The 20,167-nt window shown below is 41.2% G+C and overlaps 1 long non-coding RNA gene across 3 annotated transcripts in view, besides 1 other annotated feature; it reads left to right on the forward strand.

Annotated features, from left to right (window-relative positions):
- LOC105376481 (uncharacterized) overlaps nt 1–20,167 on the forward strand; it is a 123,422-nt gene that overhangs the window by 43,975 nt on the left and 59,280 nt on the right. The gene's annotated exons all lie outside the window — the stretch shown is intronic.
- Nucleotides 14,685–14,874: an enhancer, noted in NCBI's record as "active region_3232". NCBI's record gives its function as "activates an Ori minimal core promoter by ATAC-STARR-seq in GM12878 lymphoblastoid cells {active_cell/tissue: GM12878}" and the evidence as "EXISTENCE:reporter gene assay evidence [ECO:0000049][PMID:35858748]".

The raw sequence follows: 20,167 nt of genomic DNA on the forward strand, positions 1-20,167 counted from the left end.
TACACAAACTCCAGTCAGCCATATTGGTCCCAACCAATTTTAGCCAGTTTTGTTATCTTACAAGTGGAGAGAGTTTCAGCATTTTAATAAGTTGTGCTTTTTAAAATCTGTCATCCTGCAAGCTCAAGAATTTCTGTTAATCATTGGTTTCTTTAACTCTCCGAGGTATAGTTTCATAACTCTACTCATTTTGTCTTATTCAAGAAGGAAAAGCAAGTGAATGAGAGAGATATTAGGTGCAGTATCATTCCTCAAGGCTAACTCTGGGCTCATGGAAAGAGTGCTGCGATTGATTGATAATGTCTGTCATGGATGTGGGAATGGGTGTGGTCGTGCGTCACCAGGTTTTTACCACACCTGCATTACGTATTTCTGAGTTTTCTGGTGTTGTGTCCCTTTGCTTTGCTTATGTTGTAGTCACCTATATCGTGTCTTAAATAGTTTTGATTCACTCATATCACCTTGCCTGGCCAAGTCTTGCAATGAATGGGGCTCAAGAGATATTAGAATTCAATTGACCTTACACTTAACTGAGTGTTCCTAACTTGTGAGATCCTTAATAGCTATTGAACAGTGTCATGAAAGTGACACCCATGGAAACCTATGTCCATAGAACACTGAATGTAGAGTAGGTACACACATGTTTTTCTCATTAATTTTACTAATAAAATATAATACATTTGGATCAAGAGTGAAACTGTATTTGATCAGAAATTTCAGGGAATACAGTGTTCTTGATTTTTTGTTTCAGAGCCAGTGCTTTTTGGAACCTATCGAGCATGCATGTCCACTTTCCTGACTTGTTAAACACAGTCCAAATAACAAAATGGAAACTGTGGGAGAAACTCAAGTCCTCACTTTAACAATCATTTGGATAGAGAAGACTGCATCTAAACAATACTAACCCAAGACAGCCACTAGAAGTTGCTCTAAAAAAGAGAGAGAGAGAACTCAGGTTCTCAGAGTATTTTGTTGATAGTGACCTCTTTATGAAAATAGGTTAAAAAAATCCAGTGATTGAAGGTTCTAGTAATAGGTAATTATCTAGGTAATAGGTAATTATCTGGTAATGATCTATCCAGGGATAGATAATTCTAGGTTTTTCTACCTAGTTGCCCAAATATGAATAAGAGGTTAGAACCCTGAAACTATTGAACATTTGATATAAATTATACTCTTCCTTAGCTTGCAAGTGCTAAGCCTGGATTCCTTGTATTTCTGAAGTGTTCCTTAACACTTTATTCTACTAGCATTTGAAAATAGTCAATGACCATGTTGAATAAGGCAGCACCACTTGTCCAGTAAATTCACCCCCAGCTTGAAGAATCCTATAAAGCAAGCAAATATGTAAAAATAATTATACTTACAGGATGTTTGAATGAAATCCTTCTTTAGAGAGGTAGCATCATGGATATGTGGAGAACATGGAATTTGGAGCTAGATTACCTAGGTTCAAATTCCAGCTCCAATATTTGTAAGTTGTGACCTTGGGCAAGTATTTAACCTGTGAGCTTCACTTTCCTCATCTGTAAAAAAGAACAGTATTCAGAAAATATTGCATATCCTGGCATGTGGACAGGGTGTCTGGAATGTCATTACAAGGAATGGCTGGAACACCACGTGAGCTGATGGGAAGTCATTAACATCATCTTTATGTTGCCCATTTCTAATCAACCAATTACAGCGAATTTCTCTCTGAATATTGGATTGACTGATGCATATGCAAAGGTCTACTTTGTGTTACTGTTCTTTAATTATATATAAGTGAGGTCTAATTTTCACTGTGTGCATGCCTAGAGAGGTCAATTCTTATGTACACATGCCCTTTCTAGCTATATGATCCATATTTATGTTCTCATTAATGACCAAATTCTCAAGTCTTAGTTTTTTTTCAAGTGGCTTAAAATTCAGTTCTTACAGGATAAAAGATGATGTGGGTCTGGGGTTCATTCCTGGAGGCAGAGTAAACCTGAAGCACCCTCTGGCATGGGAACTGGTACCGGGGAGAGGCTGGACCCCATTTTGGAGCAACCATGAAGCAATGTGATCAAGGGGCAGTCCAAAGTGGAGCTAAGGAAGGAAGCTAGAGCTCAGCTCAATGGAAACAGTATAAGTCCACAGGTCAGAGGGTCAGGAAACAGGTCTAGGGCCATGGCCTTGGACAATCAGGAACAGGTGAGGAAGGGAAATGACCAGCAAGATATGGACTGAGGCAAATATTTTGGCGTGCAGGCTGGGAGCACTGAGAACATGCTGGGGCTTTTCCAACAGGTGCCAACATTGTAGAGTGGGAATACCCCCTCTAGCTTGGAGGTTTCTGCAAACGATCTCGCTTAAGGTCTTCTAAGGTGCGGTATTTATACCATTTAATTATCTGAGTTAGTAAGGGGTTTCTATTTCTTCAGAAACTTCACGCAGACATCTTGAAGTTTGAGATTGAATTGAGCAGGCCTGAAACTTAAACCATAACACCTTCCCTTCTCTAGGCCTCCATACCTCAGTGGAGGATGCTTCTGGGGATAAAACGCCTTCAAAATGAGTTATCCTCATAAGTCACATGGGTGACATTGTTAAGCATCACATAATGCAGTGACCAAAGTTTGCTACAGATCCCAAGGGTTTGGCTGTACAAAGTGAAGTTGGACAGGTTGGCCTCATGCCAAACTGGGGTCTTCATCGTGTCCTTAACCCTTTCCCCTCCTGTGGTCAGTGTCGTCCTGCTTTCCAACCCGCCCACCATTGCAACAGCTATGCCCATTGAGCTTTAGTACATGCTAACTTCACAGTATGTACTAACTCCTTTACATATAATAGGTGATTCAATCCTTGCAACAATCCTAAGCGTAGTATTATTATTACCTCATTTTATGGATGAAGAAAATTAGGCTCATAAAGATTAAGTAACTTACACAAGGTCACTTAACTGCCTGGGAAGTAAATCCAATTCTGTAGGACAACAAAGCCAAGACTTTTCACCGCCCTGCTCAAATTCTAATAAGAATGAATTACAGATACAGGTGAATCCATTATATTCAGTGAATGTAAGTTTTAGGCAAGATGTTGTCCATTCGCAGGATTTACATTTTAAGATTTCATCTTCAATTGTGGAACAAAAGTTGGGGTCCCAAATGAAAAGGATAGGAGGCAGCAGGCAGGAGAGGGCTGGGTGACAGTGGAATTATAGATTCTTCTTTTAGAATGATGAGTGGATGCTCTGAAAAGATTGCTAGGCTCTGCCCTACCTCCTCCAGAGAGATCCAGAAGGAAGATCAGCCCAGGGCTGCCTGGGTGCCCCTGTCAAACCTATTTTCAGGCAGGGCACAACGGCTCACGCCTGTAATCCCAGCACTTCGGGAAGTCGAGGCGGGCAGATGGCTTGAGGTCAGCAGTTTGAGACCAGCCTGACCAATATGGCAAAACCCCATCTTTACTAAAAATACAAAAATTAGTGAGGCATGATGATGCATGCTTGTAGTCCCAACTACTCAGGAGGCTGAGGCAGAAGAATTGCTTGAACATGGGAGGTAGAGGTTGAAGTGAACTGAGATCGAACCACTGTACTCGGCCTGGGTGACAGAAACAAACAAACAAAAACCTATTTTCAGAACCTGCACATATTTGGCCAACTTTCTTAGCAACTTTCCCTGTGGCCCAGACCCCCACTGTGACCTAACACAGCTGAGTACCTGGAGCTTTTCCTCCTGCTCTCCAGCCTCGGTCCTCACATCTTAGCCTTTCCCCTTCCTCCCGTCTCTTTTCCTTATCTGGCACATATGACGCTACTTCTAATAACAGTAGCAAACAGAGGATATTTACACCCTACATATGTTAACTCATTCAATTCTATTTTCTTAGCATTTAGAAATTTTAAAAATGCCATAATCCTCCCTTTGTTCTCATCCCAAAGTGCATTCTTAGGTTCCTTGTATCACCTTGGCCTCTGACAACATTTGTGACAACACAAGTGCATCGCCAGAATGTATCTTCTTTGCAAGCATCTTCTTTGCAAGCATAGGTAGTGTTTTCTCCTGAATTCTTCTGTTGCCTCTACTCTGCTCCTCCTTCACCTCCCCACCTCTCCACCACTCACCTTCTCCTAAGAGCTCTACTCTGTAGCATTTGCTGCATGTTCCAGACCATTCCAGGAGCTTGCCTGTGAAGTCATTAATTCTTTCTTTCTTCTTCTTCTTTTTTGTTTTTTTAAAGAGACAGGGTCTTGCTCTATCACCCAGGCTGAAGTTCAGCAGTGCAACCATGGCTCACTGTAACCTTGAACTCCTAGGCTGAAGCCTCCCAATTAGCTAGGACTACAGGTGTGCACCACCATGCCTGCCAAATTTTTTAATTTTTTGTAAAGATGGGGTCTTGCTATGTTGCCCAGGCTGGTCTCAAACTCCTGGCCTCAAGCGATTCTCCTGCCTTGGCCTCCTGAGTAGTTGGGATTATAACTGTGACCACTACACTGGACCTTAATTCTATTTTCTCCCACCCTCCTTCTTTCTTTTCCACCACATATTTGCAGAATCGTGATTGTCCCTCAAAAGTGGCTCCAAATGTTTCTCTATTTATTTAAGGAGTAAGGTCATCAGCCCTGAAATCCAATTCTGGCCATAGACACATCTCTCCAGGCTGTGTTGGTAACTAACCTGTCACTTGGGAAGAGCCATAAATGATAACAGTTGCACCTCATGCCCTCGCACTCCCTCACTGAGAGAAGTCTATGGGCCACATGGAGGCTGCAGGCAGAGGCTGCTCCTGAGCTTCTCCCCTTCTCTCCCATTCCTTTCGAGAGAAAAAGAAAAGCCCTCAGCAGAGCTCCCCGAACCTCCCTGGGCCAAAGGATGAAACAAAGAATATATCTTTACAACACACCATAAGTCACCATGAAACTCAGGCCATCATTTTCATGGTTTTGATAAATATGAGCTGTGCTGAAATTAGAGATCATAAATTTGGGAGCCAAGAGGAGTTGACTTAGATTTAATAGAACAAACTGCTACATGAAATCTGTCTTATTAAAGTTAATTAAAGGAAGTGGAAATGGTCATCTATTAACAGAATCTAGCCCTCCAAGGAATATCGTTTGTGAATACAAATCCCTTCATATATACATGTGGGTATGATGTGTGTAGATATATAGTGGGTCTATATTTATATATATTTCATGATTTAAATAATGAGACTCAAATGTATTTTTTCTCATCTGTTAAATTACAAATGTCTAAAATAAAAAACGTTATAAAGGTCTAGAATCAAATAATATTTCATTGTATGGTAATATAGATTAACTATCATAAAGAATAAAATTTTATAAATTTTTCCTAGTACCCACACGCCCACATATGCACACAGAGTAGGCCTGTTTTCCCATGTTATGTTTGCCACCCTTTCCTGGACAATTAATGCAGGACATATTTTAAAATGTCACTATCCAAAGACATTAAGGAATCCCTTACAGACTTCTGTCTTCCAGATCACTAATATCTTAAGAAAGCAAATGTAACAAGGTTATTTTTTAAATATTAAAAAAAATTTTAAAAATTTTAAAAATTAAAAATAAAAATATTTAAAAAAAATTAAAAATAATATTAAAAATATTAAAAATAAAAATAAGAAATTAATAATAAAAAAAATTAAAAAATAAAAAATATTTTAAAAAGAAAATAAAAAATTTTAAATAAAAAATAATAAAATAAAATATTTTTTAAATATTAAAAATAAAAAAAAATTAAAAAAATAATAATAATACATTCAAAAGCAGAGATAGTTACCTGTGCTGTCTTAAATCATTTTGGGAAAAGTGAGCCTGCTTTTGAATATAGCTCATCATGAGTTTTATATTTAAATTAACCTCCTTATTTTTTATCTTCAAACTCACCAACTGATGGATCCCAGCTTGCAGTAGTTAATCCTACGGATTTAGGAGAATTCAGGCCATCATTCCAAGACCTGGACTCCTTTGCATAGTTTCTGCTCTTATTGAGGGCTGAGCCCCTGTGGTGCATGAGCTGAAGGAACAATTAAAGATGAAGAGAAAAAGGAAAAAGAAGTTTCTTCAACTGAGTTGCCTAAATCAAAAAGCTGGTGCATGCCAAAAAATTTGCAAATCAAATCACTACACACTAGTCTAGAATGTTAGCAAAAGTGTTGACATAGGGCTTAAATTGCTGTAAGCTATATAGAGAAAGTGTCTGTCTGTTTATCTATTTGTTTACAAAATCAAAGTGGAAGGCTTTGGGGATTAAAGGCAATGTCTGGAATCATACAAGAGTACAGCATTGTCTGTAGATGTGGTGGGATTTAAGTTACTTTCTTTCTTTTTTTTTTTTTTAGACTAATTTTGCTCTGTCGCCCAGGCTGGAGTGCAGTGGCATGATCTCGGCTCGCTGCAAACTCCGCCTCCCGGGTTCAAGCTATTCTCCTGCCTCAGCCTCCTGAGTAGCTGGTATTACAGGCACATGCCACCATGCCTGGCTAATTTTTGTATTTTTAGTAGAGACGGAGTTTCACCATGTTGGTCAGGCTTGTCTCGAACTCCTGACCTCGTGATCCACCCGCCTCAGCTTCCCAAGTGCTGGGATTACAGGCGTGAGCCACCGCGCCCAGCCCAGGGTTTAACTTTCTTAACATCGTCCTCTGTTCTCCCATGCTGGTGGTGATACCAGAAATGGAAACAACAGGTTTGAAAGGCAATTTGGCATTCTCAAGTAAAAGTCATAACACTTTTCATGCCCTTTGACTGAGAGATTAGTCTTCTGAAAACTTACCCTGAAAGAGTGAGAAAAAAAAAACAACACAAGTGCCCAACGATTTCCATTGATTTTTATTTTCAAAAGCAAAGTCTTGGCCATATACTAGAGAATCTAACAATAAGGAAATGGTTTAAAAACTGAAGTACACTGTGCAAAATATGGCACGGTCATGAAAAATGTGAGCTGTGGATCAGGCATAGTGGCTCACACCTGTAATCCCAACACTTTGGGAGGCTGAGGCAGGATGATCACTTGAGGCCAGGAATTTGAGACCAGCCTGGGCTACATCATAAGACCCCCACCTCTACAAAAAAAAAAAAAAAAAAATTAGCCAGGCGTTGAGGCATGCACCTGTAGTCCCAGCAACTTTGGGGGCTGAGGCAGGAGGATGGCTTGAGCACAGGAGTTTGAGGCTGCAGCGAGCTATGATCGTGCCACTGTACTCCAGCCTGGGCAAAAGAGCAAGACCCCTGTCCTCCCTTTCCCCAGCCCCTCAAAACGTAGGGCTTGTAGTAACACGAAAACAAAGCTCAAGCTATAGGCTGGTTATTCAGCTGTGGTCTCCATCTTGGAACCCACGTTGCTCTGGGGTGCCCAACCTGGAACTTTGCCTATCAAATTTCTACTTTGCCTGCTGGCTCCGTGTTTGATTCCACCAACAGAGGGCACTAGAGGAAGATTGAAGGCAGGAATGCAGAAAAGGGACATGCCCCTTTCTGTCTGCTTCCTGTCTTGGCAGAGATACCCACGTGGCCCTTCCCTCTGGACAAGCAGCTGGTCTCACCAGCACTGGCTCCAGCCTCCAACTTTGTAGCCACATCTAGAACCAGCCTCACCGCCCCTCCTCTTGGAAGTGTCAACTTGAGCCCTGGTGGCATCCCCTCCCCAGAAGCGCAGGCCCCAGTTCTGCAACACCCCTCCCCTGCACACTTCTGGGTTCCGATTACCCCAACTTCTTTCCTTTCTTCCTCCAGCCCCAGGGGTGAGAGTTGCTTCCTAGGGTTACTATGCCTGTTTTATTTCAGGGTTCCTTTTCCATAAAATCAAATTCTCTCTGCTGAATAATTAGTGTTAAAATAAATAAATATTAGTTTCTATTTTTCTATAAATAATTAGTTTATATTTTCTTGACTGATTAAACAAAATCAAGGAATAAAAATGTATGTATAGTGAACACAACCACATGAAGCTATGTAAACAGTTCTCTGGGAAAAAGCATTGGAAGGAAATTTACCAAAATCTGAATCATGGTTGCGTTCAACCTGGTGTTAGGCTTATGAGTGAATTTTCTTCTCCCTTCACCCCTATTTTGTGAATTTTTGGGGGAAATATGGTTACATTACTTTCATAGTAAAAATATAAAATTATACATTTTTTAATGAGAAGATTTGATTCCAAGTATGAATAAAAGCGTATTTAGCCTGAAGAGAGTCTGGCCTGTAAAAATCAGACAAACTATAATCTGGGTAATGAAAAGTGACTGCAAATGTGATCACAATTCCACTGGGGATAACTTTTGAAAAAGAGGAGCAGTAAAGACCAGAGTGAAGCAAGTGATGTCATAGCTCTCCAAGAACCAAAAAGGGTATGGTTCAAAACTAACAAAATGAGACGGTTGATGGGATCTTCCAGCAAATTCTACAAGCCTATTCCATAGATAACCCATGGACACTGGAAGAAAGCCTGGATTCACAGAGACCAGTTTATGCTAAATTCACCTTATTCCCTTTTATTGCTGGGTTATTATGAATTGATCATGTACTTGCTTATTTATTTATTCATTCATACAATAAACATTATTACATAACTACTCTATTCCAGGAACCGCCTTGGTGATAGAAATAGAAAGGTGAACTTCTAGTAGGAGAGACAGGTAGATGACATTTAGATGCTATCAACATGTGTCCTGGAAAACAAATCATTCTAATTTAAACTTTTTATTTTACCCAGTAATATGCAAAATGGACATCTAAACCTCATCCCTGTGCCTCACCCATCACTACCCCCACTCCAGTCCTGGTGGTGAGTGGATTACGGGCACCAGAGAGAGTTTCAGATGAGGCAGGGATTGACATGGGTGGGAGTGAGGGGTGGTTCAGGGGTGCAGTGGGGTGGGGTTAGGCACCATCTGGCAGCCAAAACACATAAAACCAAGTGGCATATGTTTTTTCACACTTGCTCATCTCAGCAGGGGCCATCAATCACTCTAAATAAGATGTCTGCTCATTCTCTTGATTTCATATGAATCTCAACTGGTCCACAATCAGATTCTCTGAATTTTTCTTTAATGTTGCAGTGGTCAAATGCATTTACTTTCTAGTAATAAAGAGATTCAGCTGTTTAGTCATGGAACCCATTCTATTTTTAATGTGGACATTCTTGTTTTTTTGGTATTCTTTCTTACTTGGTTTATCTTATTGATTAGATATATATAGGAAATTGGTGTGGGTGAATATTTGTCTATAATATGATCTTCCATTCTCAGCCCTAGACTAAAATAAATGTCTAACTGTTCTTTTAGTATTCTCTGTTGTAGAGCTCCATCTTAGCTAATGTTCTAAAGCTTTATTAAAATGATGGTTGGAGGGACAAGTCTCAAATCTCTTAGAGATTAACCCAGGTATAGCTTTTAATATGTCTTTATCCCTTTTTCCTCCAGTGATAAAGAGACTATACCTATAAAAATTACAAGCCACTTAGAAATGAATAAAATGGAAAAAGAGTTTTCCACAATCAACGGTGGAGGGTGTTGAAGATGGAAGAAGGGAGAGGGTTCAGGTTGATACTGGGTGACATAATAGAGATTTTACTTTTTGACATGGCTAAGTCAGTAGGGCTGCAAAAAATGCTCTGCTTCCGGGTGGACAAGACCCCTACACGAATCTTTGTAATAAAGTGTGGTAAGGACTCTAATGAGGGAATAAGAGGGAAGCTGTGAGCAGCAGGACAGGGTTGGGGAGGAGTGGTGGGTGGGACGTGAGGCTGAAGGCTGGGGCTAGACCACAGGTCCATAGTACCACGCTTACCATTAAACAACAAACAATTTATGCAGATCCCACCATATTTCAAAGCATATAAAGTGGCCTATTAAAATATATATAATACAAGAAGATCAAGTATAAAAAAGTATGTCGTGAACTTGGGGCAAAATAATTAAGGATAGGAAAATAGGATTAACCCACGAGTAAGGCTGGTCTAAAATCAATATTTGAGCCAGGCAAGGGGGCTCGTGCCTGTAATCCCAATGTTTGGGAGGCCGAGGTGGGAGGATTGCCGGAGGCCAGGAGTCTGAAACCAGCCTGGCAACATAGTGAGACCCTGTCTCTATTAAAAACATTTTTTTAAATAAAGATTAGCTGGGTGTGGTGGTGGGTACCTGTAGGTCCAGTTACTTGCGAGGCTGAGGGGGAGGATCACTTGAGCACAAAAGTTCAAGTTTACAGTGAGCTATGATTGCGCCACTGCACTCCAACTTGGGCGACAGAGGGAGACCCTGTCTCTAAAGATAAAATAAAATAAAATCAATTTTGTTGAAATATGCAGAAATATTTGTAGGAGTTCCTAGGCATTTGCTGAAAATGGACTACAAGTTAGGTTCCAAGCTTTCAGGTGCATACGCAAAACAGATACAAGAAAAAGAAAAAAAGAAAGCAAACTCTGATCACATTGTCAATTACATAAATTTACAACCCAGTCACCCAGATAAAGCATAACTCTTCCTGGTACTGAGATTAGAAAGAATATTTTCCTCTTGGGTCTTCATGAAGAAGGCACTGGGTGATACAGTGATAAGTACATCAATGGCCTTTTTAAACGACAAAAGGCAATGCATTCTTTGGAGATATTTCTTATATCAGTATTCGAAGGAAGCTGAAGTCAAAATACTATCATCCAATTCATTAAAAGAAACTCTGTGACAGTAAAAATCCTGTGGTATGAGCATATAACTTATCTCAGAGAGAATATTAGAGTAGTAGTTCCTCTTTTGAGTTGTGGGCCACTTTGGAAAACTTTCCATTCACTCATTTGTTAAAAACAAATGTGTGCAGAGATTTCACTCTATTCCAGGCTATGGCAGCCTTGCAAATGGGCTGCTCAGGTATCCTGCTGTGGGGAGCCCCTGTCCCCTCCATTCGGGGTCCACTGCCATACTGGCACCAAGGCCACCATCCCTGGAGCTGCTCCCAGTCCCTGCCAATGATGGAGCACAGTAGATCCAGGTGACAGTGCTGACCCAATACTGCAGGATGCAAGAGTCCTTAAATGGGCAACTTTGGCTGGAGGACATCCCATGGGCTTATAGGAAACTGCCTTAGAACTGCGGTTTGACAGTCTTCCCACCCGATCTCCCTTCTTTCCCTGTCCCCCTTCATAGGGTTCAACCTGAACTGTGGTGGGAAGGCTCTCCCTGCCTCCTCCTGCTACCTCCTGTGGTTCTTCACAGTGTTTCTCCCAGTAAATCTCTTTTGCATCTGATCTCATTTTGTCACCTGCTTTTTTGAGGAGCCAAACTAACCCACACACTGAGGATTTCACAGTTACCATGACAGTCAGGGGTCCTGCCCACAGGGAAGAGACAGACTACAAACAAGGCAACAAAGACATAGCTGAGATGGCTCCCAGATAGTAATTAGTGCTCAAAAGGAAACAAGACAGGGTTATGGGAGAGAGAATGAAGGGAAGCCTACTTTAGGTTAGGGGATCAGGAATGGCCTCCCTTGCTAAGCTGACACCTAAATGTCAGGCTCATGTGAGGCAGGGGAGAATTAGTTTGGTGTGTTTAGGGACTGCAGGGATGTGTGGAGAGTAGAGAGAGGCAGCAGAACACAGGTGGCATGTGAGATCAGCCCGGTGGGCAGGATGAGGTTGTGTAAATCCTGGGGAGGAGCTCAAATTTTATGTTAAGTGTGACAGGGAGATTAAAAGTATGGGTATAATTTTAGGGATATTACAGACCTCATAAAATTTGTTCTTAAGTGTAGACTTATATAGATAACAAGTGAAATCCATATGTTTTGGGCAATTTTCCATAAACACTATCTCTTCTCCTTAAAAAAAATTTATTACTTTTGAAAATATGCTACACATTTATAGTAAAATTTAAAAGTGCTAAATATACAGAAAAATACAAAAAAGAAAATATAATCATTCCAAGTGCACTATCTGGTAAAAATAACAAATTTATTTATTTATTTATTTATTTATTTATTTATAACTTTTGTAGAGATGGGGTCTTGCTTGGCCAGGCTGGTTTCAAACTCCTGGCCTCCAGGTGCGGTGGCTCACACTTGTAATCCTAGCACTTTGGGAGGCCGAGGCGGGCAGATTGCCTGAGCTCAGGAGTTCGAGACCAGCCTGGGCAATATGGTGAAACCCCCTCTGTACTAAAATACAAAAAATTAGCCGGGTGTGGCAGCATGGGCCTGTAGTCCCAGCTACTTGGGAGGCTGAGGCAGGAGAATTGCTTGAACCTGGGAGGCGGAGGTTGCAGTGAGCCAAGATTGCGCCACTGCACTCCAGCCTGGGCAATAGAGCAAGACTCTGTCTCAAAAAAAAAAAAAAAAAGACTCCTGGCCCTTAAGCAATCCTCCTGCTTCAGCCTCCCAAAGTGCTGAGATTCTAGCCTTGAGCCACTGCGCCTGGCTTAGACATGATTATTGACAGTGTTTGGATGGACATCCCTCTAGGCATCTTTATGCCTTTCATACTGATACAAATAGATGTAATACATACTTTTATACATATTACATGTAGGTACTTATTGTATGTGCTATTCTGAGACTTGCTTTTTATCTCTCCTTAACATGCTGTAGACATATTAAATATTTCATTGATCCTAATAAAAAAAAAAAAAAACGTTTGCACGCCTGAAATTGATTTGCGTCTTACAATCCATGTGATGGTGTCCGGCCAGGCAGCAGTTGCTCCAGGCACATTCACAAAAACATCAAAAGGTTCAGAATGGATGCTAATGACTTAGGAGAAAAGCCATGAGCAAGAGGTGAATTTTTCTTTAAACCTTAGAAGCAAAATTATTGAAGGAGGAGTGTGGGAGATGATTTATTGAAATCGAACTGATTTATCAATATTTGCGAAGTCCAAAGTTGGCCAATCCTACATAACTGCAAAGTCAGGAGCTTGATGGATTTACCTTTTTAATGTATTCTTTGAAAAGTCAGCATCCAAACTCTCTTGATGGCAGAGAGGACAATATAGCATAGAAATCCATGGACACTGATGATTCTGAGTTGATGAGCATCTGGAAGGTTGGACTCTAAATGAGAGGCACTTTCAGGAACATACAAACAAATTTATTATGCTTATATATGTTTTCATGTATGCACAAGAGCAATATATAATAAAAATATGCCTATGTTTAAAGAGCTAGTTAGTGGAAAATAAAAATTCAAGGGAATAAGAAAGCTTGTGTCATTTAATTGATAGCATTTTCTTACTATCATAAAATAATGATGTATCTTGTCCCGGTGCAGTGGCTCAGAATAATCCCAGCACTTCGGGAGGCTGAAGTGAGTGAATCACTTGAGCCCAGGGTTCCAGACCAGTCTGGCCAATATGGTGAAACCCCGTCTCTACTAAAAATACAAAAATGAGCCCAGCATGGAGGCGCTCAACTGCAATCTGAGCTACACGGGAGGCTGAGACAGGAGAATCACTTGAACCCGAGAGGCGGAGGTTGCAGTGAGCCGAGATGGTGCCACTGCACTCCAGCCTGGGTGACAGAGTGTCTCAAAAAACAAAATAAATAAAATAATGATGTATCTTAAAGATGAAGTTATCGCAGATTTGATGGAATGCAATAGACCCCTCCCCCACTTTAAGGTTGCTCCATATTCTACCATGTGGTATATTCCTTAATTTATGTGCCCTGCCCTCTATTCATGGACATTTGGGTCATTCTGATTTTTCCCAAACATAAACAGCGCTGCAGGAAATCTTTTTGTGCATACATCCTTTCATACTTTTGTGATTTTCCCTTTAGAGTAATAAACCAAGTTTTGATAAGTGTCAGGTTGCAGGCATTTTGAGACGATACACTTTGGTTGGTTGTGCCTGGAGTGCCACCATTTCAGAATGCCAGGGACTAAAACTTTACCAGTCAGTCAGCTGTGGGAGAAGTGACAATATCCTGTGAACACTGAGGGCCTAACAGGAACATGCCCTGCCTGGAAGAGAGTCATCTCTTATTGGAGTAGATTGAAGGGGAAAATTGTGGGCAGGGCAAGACTGACTGTTCATCCATCCATCCATCCATCCATCCATCCATCCATCCATCCATTCCATAATGTTACTCCGTGTAAGCCACTGGGCTAAGTGATGATGTAGAAATCACCCCTGCCCTCTGGAAGATTACTGTACCTTGTAGGCCAGGCTAAGGAGTTTGAACTTTATCTCAAGATGTCTTTCATTTTGTTTTTTAATCCCTAAAGCACTAATTAAAAGGTTTTAAGCAGAGAAGTGTCATAATCAGATTGAGTTTGTCTGAACCAAAATGCTTGACAATTGATAAAGTTGATGGGTGGCAGGAATAGGAGTCCACCTTTTGGAACCATCCGTCTGAAGAGAGGGGATCTTCTCTGAAAGTTACGTTTAGCCAAAGCTTTTGAATCAACTGCACTATATTGAAAAGCATTGCTGAGACCTTGTTAGAAAACAGCTTGGAATCCACAAAGTTTGGGTGCAGCTGACCTGGGTCTGTCAAGCGAGAAAAATGAAACTCCCACATCAACAGCAGAATTCAACTGCCAAGATGTCCCTTATCTTTGTTCTGTGGTTAGCTCAGCCTCAGAACCCCTGGTCCTTGGCCTTGGTATATGCAGTTTCTCTGATTGAGAAGAGAAACTACTAGAAGAAGATGCCTAGATGACTCTTCCTGCTTTTAGCATACCTGACTCAGGCTGATTATTAAGTCTTGGCTGCAATGTCATTTACTCCAGGAAACCACCTAGATTAGGTCAAGAGGTGTTGCCAGGTGCTTCCATGGCTCAGTACATCTGCTGTCACCAATTACTTAGCACATTTTCAGAAAATTGCTTGAAGGGCCACCACCATAAGGTGGTACAGGCCATGCGTTGTTGGGGAGGCACCATTTAGACCACATTCTATGTGAATAATGTCCCCTGAAGTTGGGCAGTGCACAGCCTGCACAACTGTACATTTCCACCTTGACTGCTTATTTTATTTTATTTTTATTTTTTGAGATGGAGTTTCACTCTGTCACCCAGGCTGGAGTGCAGTGGCACCATCTCGGCTCACTGCAACCTCCACCCCTTGGGTTCAAGTGATTCTCCCATCTCAGCCTCCCGAGTAGCTGGGATTACAGGCACCCACCACCACACCTGGCTAATTTTTGTATTTTTTTAAGCAGAGATGGGGTTTCACCATGTTGGCCAGGTTGGTCTCGAACCCCTGATCTCAGGTGATCCGCCTGCCTCGGCCTCCCAAAGTGCTGGGATTACAGGCATGAGCCACCTTGCCCAGCCTGCTTATTTTATTGTATGTCTTCCCCATTAGACTGTCAACTCCAGAAGGAGTGGGACCATATCTTTCTTGCTTATGATTCTATTCCCTATACCTAGCACTATTGCTATAAGTAACTATTAGGTGATTAATATTTTATTTATTTATTTGTTTATTTATATATTTATTTATTTATTTATTTATTTATTTATTTATTTATTTATTGGAGACAGGGTCTTGCTGTTTCACCTAGGCTGGAGTGCAGTGGTGCTATCATAGCTCACTGAAACCTCGTACTCCCGGGCTCAAGCTATCCTCCCGCCTCAGCCTTTCAAGTAGCTGGAACTACAGGTGTGTGTCACCATACCCAGTTAATTAAAAAAATTTTATGTAGAGATGGGGTTTCACTCTGTTGCCCAAGCTGGTCTCAAGCTTCGGGCATCCAGTAATCCTCCCTCCTCAGCCTCCTACAGTGCTGAGATTACAGGTGTGGGCCACCGAACCTGGCCAACATTTTTCCTTGCTGATACCTACAGTGGTGAAATTTGTGACCTTCACACTCGGATTTATCATACCTAAATGTTTTCAAGGCAATGTGTTTTAATTAGATTTAAATTAGTATGCTCCTCAGTGGATCTTCCCATCTGTGTTTTATATGCTGCTGTGTTAACAGGAAAAGACTCCCCCCACCCCCCGCCATTTCCCAATAACATTTCACAAATTACTCGCTAGAAGGGCAAGCCTTACAATTGCAGGAACATGAACTAAGACCGGTTTTTAGGGCTCAACAACCTATTGACAGGGGATGAAAGGAGAAATTTCTCTCTTGAGGTAGTGCAGGAATAATCAAATATCAAAAGTTCCACCCAACAGCATAGGCTTATATCTCAGTGCTCCCTCACCCTCCTCGCCTGCAAGGCAGTCCAGGCAATAAAGTCTTTTCACTGGGCACATTATTGGTAACAAGAGTGAATGGATGCCGTATAGGCAACAAGCAGTCCTGTCACAGGCTCTAAAAGAAGGCTGTGCTGGTGGCTCACACCTGTAATCCCAACAGAGCCACTTCAGAAGGCTGAGGTGGGAGGATCCCTTGAGCCCAGGAATTCAAGACCAGCCTGGGCAACATAGTGAGACCTATAACTCTACAAAAAAAAAATTAAAAATTAACAGAGCATGGTGGTGTATGCCTGTGGTCCCAGCTACTTGAGAGGCTGAGGTGGGAGGATTGCTTGAGCCTGAGAGTTAAGGCTGCAGTGAGCTGTGATTGTGCCACTGCATTCTAGCCTGGGTGACAGAGCAAGACCCTGCCTCAAAAAAAAAAAAAAAAAAAAAAGGAGGCAGAGGCTCTGCCAAATGAGAGTAAATGATCACTTTCTACCCACTCAGCTTAGAATATCTACATAAATGAAAGCTTTTTATTTATTTATTTTTGGAGGATCTATTGTTCTGGCCACTAGGGTTGAATAAAGACAAATCATCTTCCACATCTCTTCTCCCAGAGGCCCCACATGTACGTAAGTTACAATTCTCCACTTTGGTGAATACACCCATTTCTAAAACGATGATCCCAAAGGAGGAACTCCTTACCTCCCATATGGCTCTAGGCTGGTGTCCCCAAGATCACCGAAGACTAATGATATGTGGAAGCAGGAAAGATCACATGCCCTTTCCCAAGAGCAATGTAAGAATTTGGAAAAATCATGTCCTGTTTCCTCCTGTAACTCAAGGAAGCCACTTTCATAATTTACAGCAAAAGCAAAAAAACAAAACCAAGCAACAACAGAAACCTCATGCCTTGAATGCCTATGGAGAGAGGGAGAAGAGTGTGAGTTAGAAGAGACTTCATGCTGGGCTCATGTTGGTTCAGAGGAGGTGATGAAATCATGATTAGATGGCTGCTGGAAACACTGGACTATGAATTTGCTGAGGGTCCCAGAGAATGGATTTGTTCGCTAAGGGAGAAAAGGGGTAGTAGAAACAAATAAATTCTTGGAGGGTTTCATTCATGTCTGTTCACTTGCCTGGCTGTATAAGTTAACCAGAACCAAAACCCTTATTGGTGAATCCATGTCTTCAAGGACCCAATCCGTAGACAATAAAAGTGTCCATCCATTTGAAAAATAAAACGAATAGTGTATAACTAAAAAACACACATGAAAATGATCTACAATGATAAATCTTTGGTAGCCAATAGGCTAAAGACATGTTTAAATTTGTCACTATTTATGATATAATTGAGATATGTTTTCTTCCACCCGAAATTAAATTTTGCAATTTAATAGAACTCACTCTGATGAAAAGAACATTTATTCAATAAGAAAGTTATTTCTTTGCAACATTAATCATCTCAAGCTCATGGTTTCTCCAGAGGGATGATCCCCATTTGCTTTTCCATTTACATTATCTTTAACAGGAAACAAATGACTTTGCTGGAGTTGTATCCTCACTAATTCTCTAAGATTAGGAACTTAGAAATATGACAGGCTTTATGGCTTCCCCTTGGGCATCATAATCACTAGTGTAAATGATGACATTTGCTTTGAGTGCAATGAAAACTACATTAATGAAAATGACCAGGCTGAAGTGTTCCCAAATGCTGATGGAATTCAAGGAAAAAGCCTTATTTGTGAGCTGCTTACATAATTGGAAGATCATGACTGACATTCACTACTGTAACAATGACAGACTCGATTCCAGAATTTCAAATAACACTGTAAGCGTGTTGAGAAAAATGAATAATCCTTGCACTTTTAGACACAGCTATGCATTAAACATCTTAAAGAATGCTCTTAAATCTATAACTATTTGAAATGATCAATCAAGTCTTTGCTCTGGCAAAAGCCATCCATCAAAGTAATTCTTTATACATATCAACAGTCTTAGGTCCCAGTGAAATGTACATTTCCCAGCAGGTGTATTTCCTCTTTCCTTCATAGCCAAGATGGCAAACAAATGGTGCACAGGTCTCCAAACGCTGGTCCTTCTCCCATGGCCGGCATCACTAATCAATCTTGGCACCCCTTCTTGCTGAGCCCAGAACAGCTTTTTCGAGATAACACTTCAATGAGCTGCCATTTGGCTGGTGCTCAGGTGAAACCCATTTGCCATTTCTTTCCCAGAGGGTAGCTCTACATACCTGGTTTAAAAGGTTAGTTACATTCCATATATTCAACTCTCTATAAAATATCTTTGTATTACTGTAAAAAAATATGTTTTTCAATATGCTATTAGAAAACCAGATGTGATTTAAACATGGCCATCAACCTTTTACATGACATATATAAAAGGAAAAGTATGATAAAATGGATGATCAGCTTACTGGGTTAAAAACTTGAGTTATACTTTTTGTAAATATATTTTTGTATGATAGCGTAAACCAAAAAATACAATCTGTTTTTATCAGTCTCTGAAATAGTGATCTGAGAGGAGATGGATTTATCATGTTTTAACACTCCACTTTTGGCCACAGTGGTAGCTATTATAACATCACACACTTCCAAAAGACAATCTCATCTAGGGAGCTGGGTTTTTTAAATGTTAACATAAGATGTAGGCTGGGTGCAGTGGCCCACACCTGTAATCCTAGCACTTTGGGAGGCCAAGGCAGGTGGATCACTTGAGCCCAGGAGTTCAAGACCAGCCCGGCTAACATGATGAAACCCCATCTCTACCAAAAATACAAAAATTAGCCAGGCCTGGTGGCACACGCCTGTAGTCCTAGCTACTTGGGAGGCTGAGACAGGAGAATCGCTTGAAGCCAGGAGGCAGAGGTTGCAGTGAGGTGAGATTGCGCCACTGCACTCCAGCCTGGGTGACAGAGCGAGACTCCGTCTCAAAAAAAAAAAAAAAAAAAGGTTAACATAAGATATGAAGGAACTTAGACAAATGTATCAGCAAAAGCACAGCTTGTAGGGCCAAGCTTTGTAATCTCTTTATCCTCAAGTCTATTTTTCACAAAATCTTCCCCAGAGAAGGGTAACTTTCAGCTCTAAACATCCATCACCCCTCAATGCTGTGATCATTCTTTTTTTCTTTCGGAACAATTGAATCATAAGACCAAGGTTACTGAAAACTTACTCAGGTGGCAGAGAAATAAACCCAAACATGACTGGAAGATTTCTCAGCCTCTTTTTCCATCCTTAACCAGGGGAGCACTTACATCATGTGATGTAAAAGAAGCTGGCAGGCGAACAGTCCACCATGCTGCTTGCTCCAACAGGCATGCCAGGGGAGACATGCTGCTCGGCGGTACCTACTGCATCACTTTCTCCTCTCTCTTCTCTGTTGAATCCCAGGAAACAATGAAATAGACAAGGGAAGCATGATGTGTTAACTTAAGAAAAAGACTTGTGTAAAATGGAGAGCCAAAAATCTATCATACATACTGGGACGTAAGCCAATCCTTTAGGGTTAAAACAAAACCCAAGGCTACTTCTCTTCATGTACAGTCTACTTGAGAGCTAAGTGTTTGACTGCTGGGTTCTCCCTGCTCTGCTACACGAGTGGAAAATCACACGGGAGCAAAGTCCTTGCCTCCTGGCCCTGGGATGGTGCAAAACAGCTGTCAGGTGTAAGGAGTTGCATCTGGGGAAGGATGAGAAATGGGGGTAAGCCTGCCCATTCATGCTGTTAGGGGATTTAGCAGGATGTGGCATTTTCTTATCTGCATAATGGGATGATGATCTCTGCAGTGTCTGCTTCCCAGCGCTGAGGGAGAGAAAGGGGAGTGAGGGTGAAATAACATCATGGATGTTCAAGTGCTTTGTCAGGTAGGGGAGGAGTGCCAGAAGGACTCCAGCACTGTTCGCGTTATTTTATTAGTAATATTGTCATCCTCATCATCTTACGTCTCTCTGGTATACTTCAGGACATGCAGCTGTATTTTGGGAGAGATGTGTGCAAGATGAAAGAGACTGAGATAAAGGGTGAGACTGTCA

Source organism: Homo sapiens, chromosome 10 (genome assembly GCF_000001405.40).
Source record: "Homo sapiens chromosome 10, GRCh38.p14 Primary Assembly".
Taxonomy (NCBI): domain Eukaryota; kingdom Metazoa; phylum Chordata; class Mammalia; order Primates; family Hominidae; genus Homo; species Homo sapiens.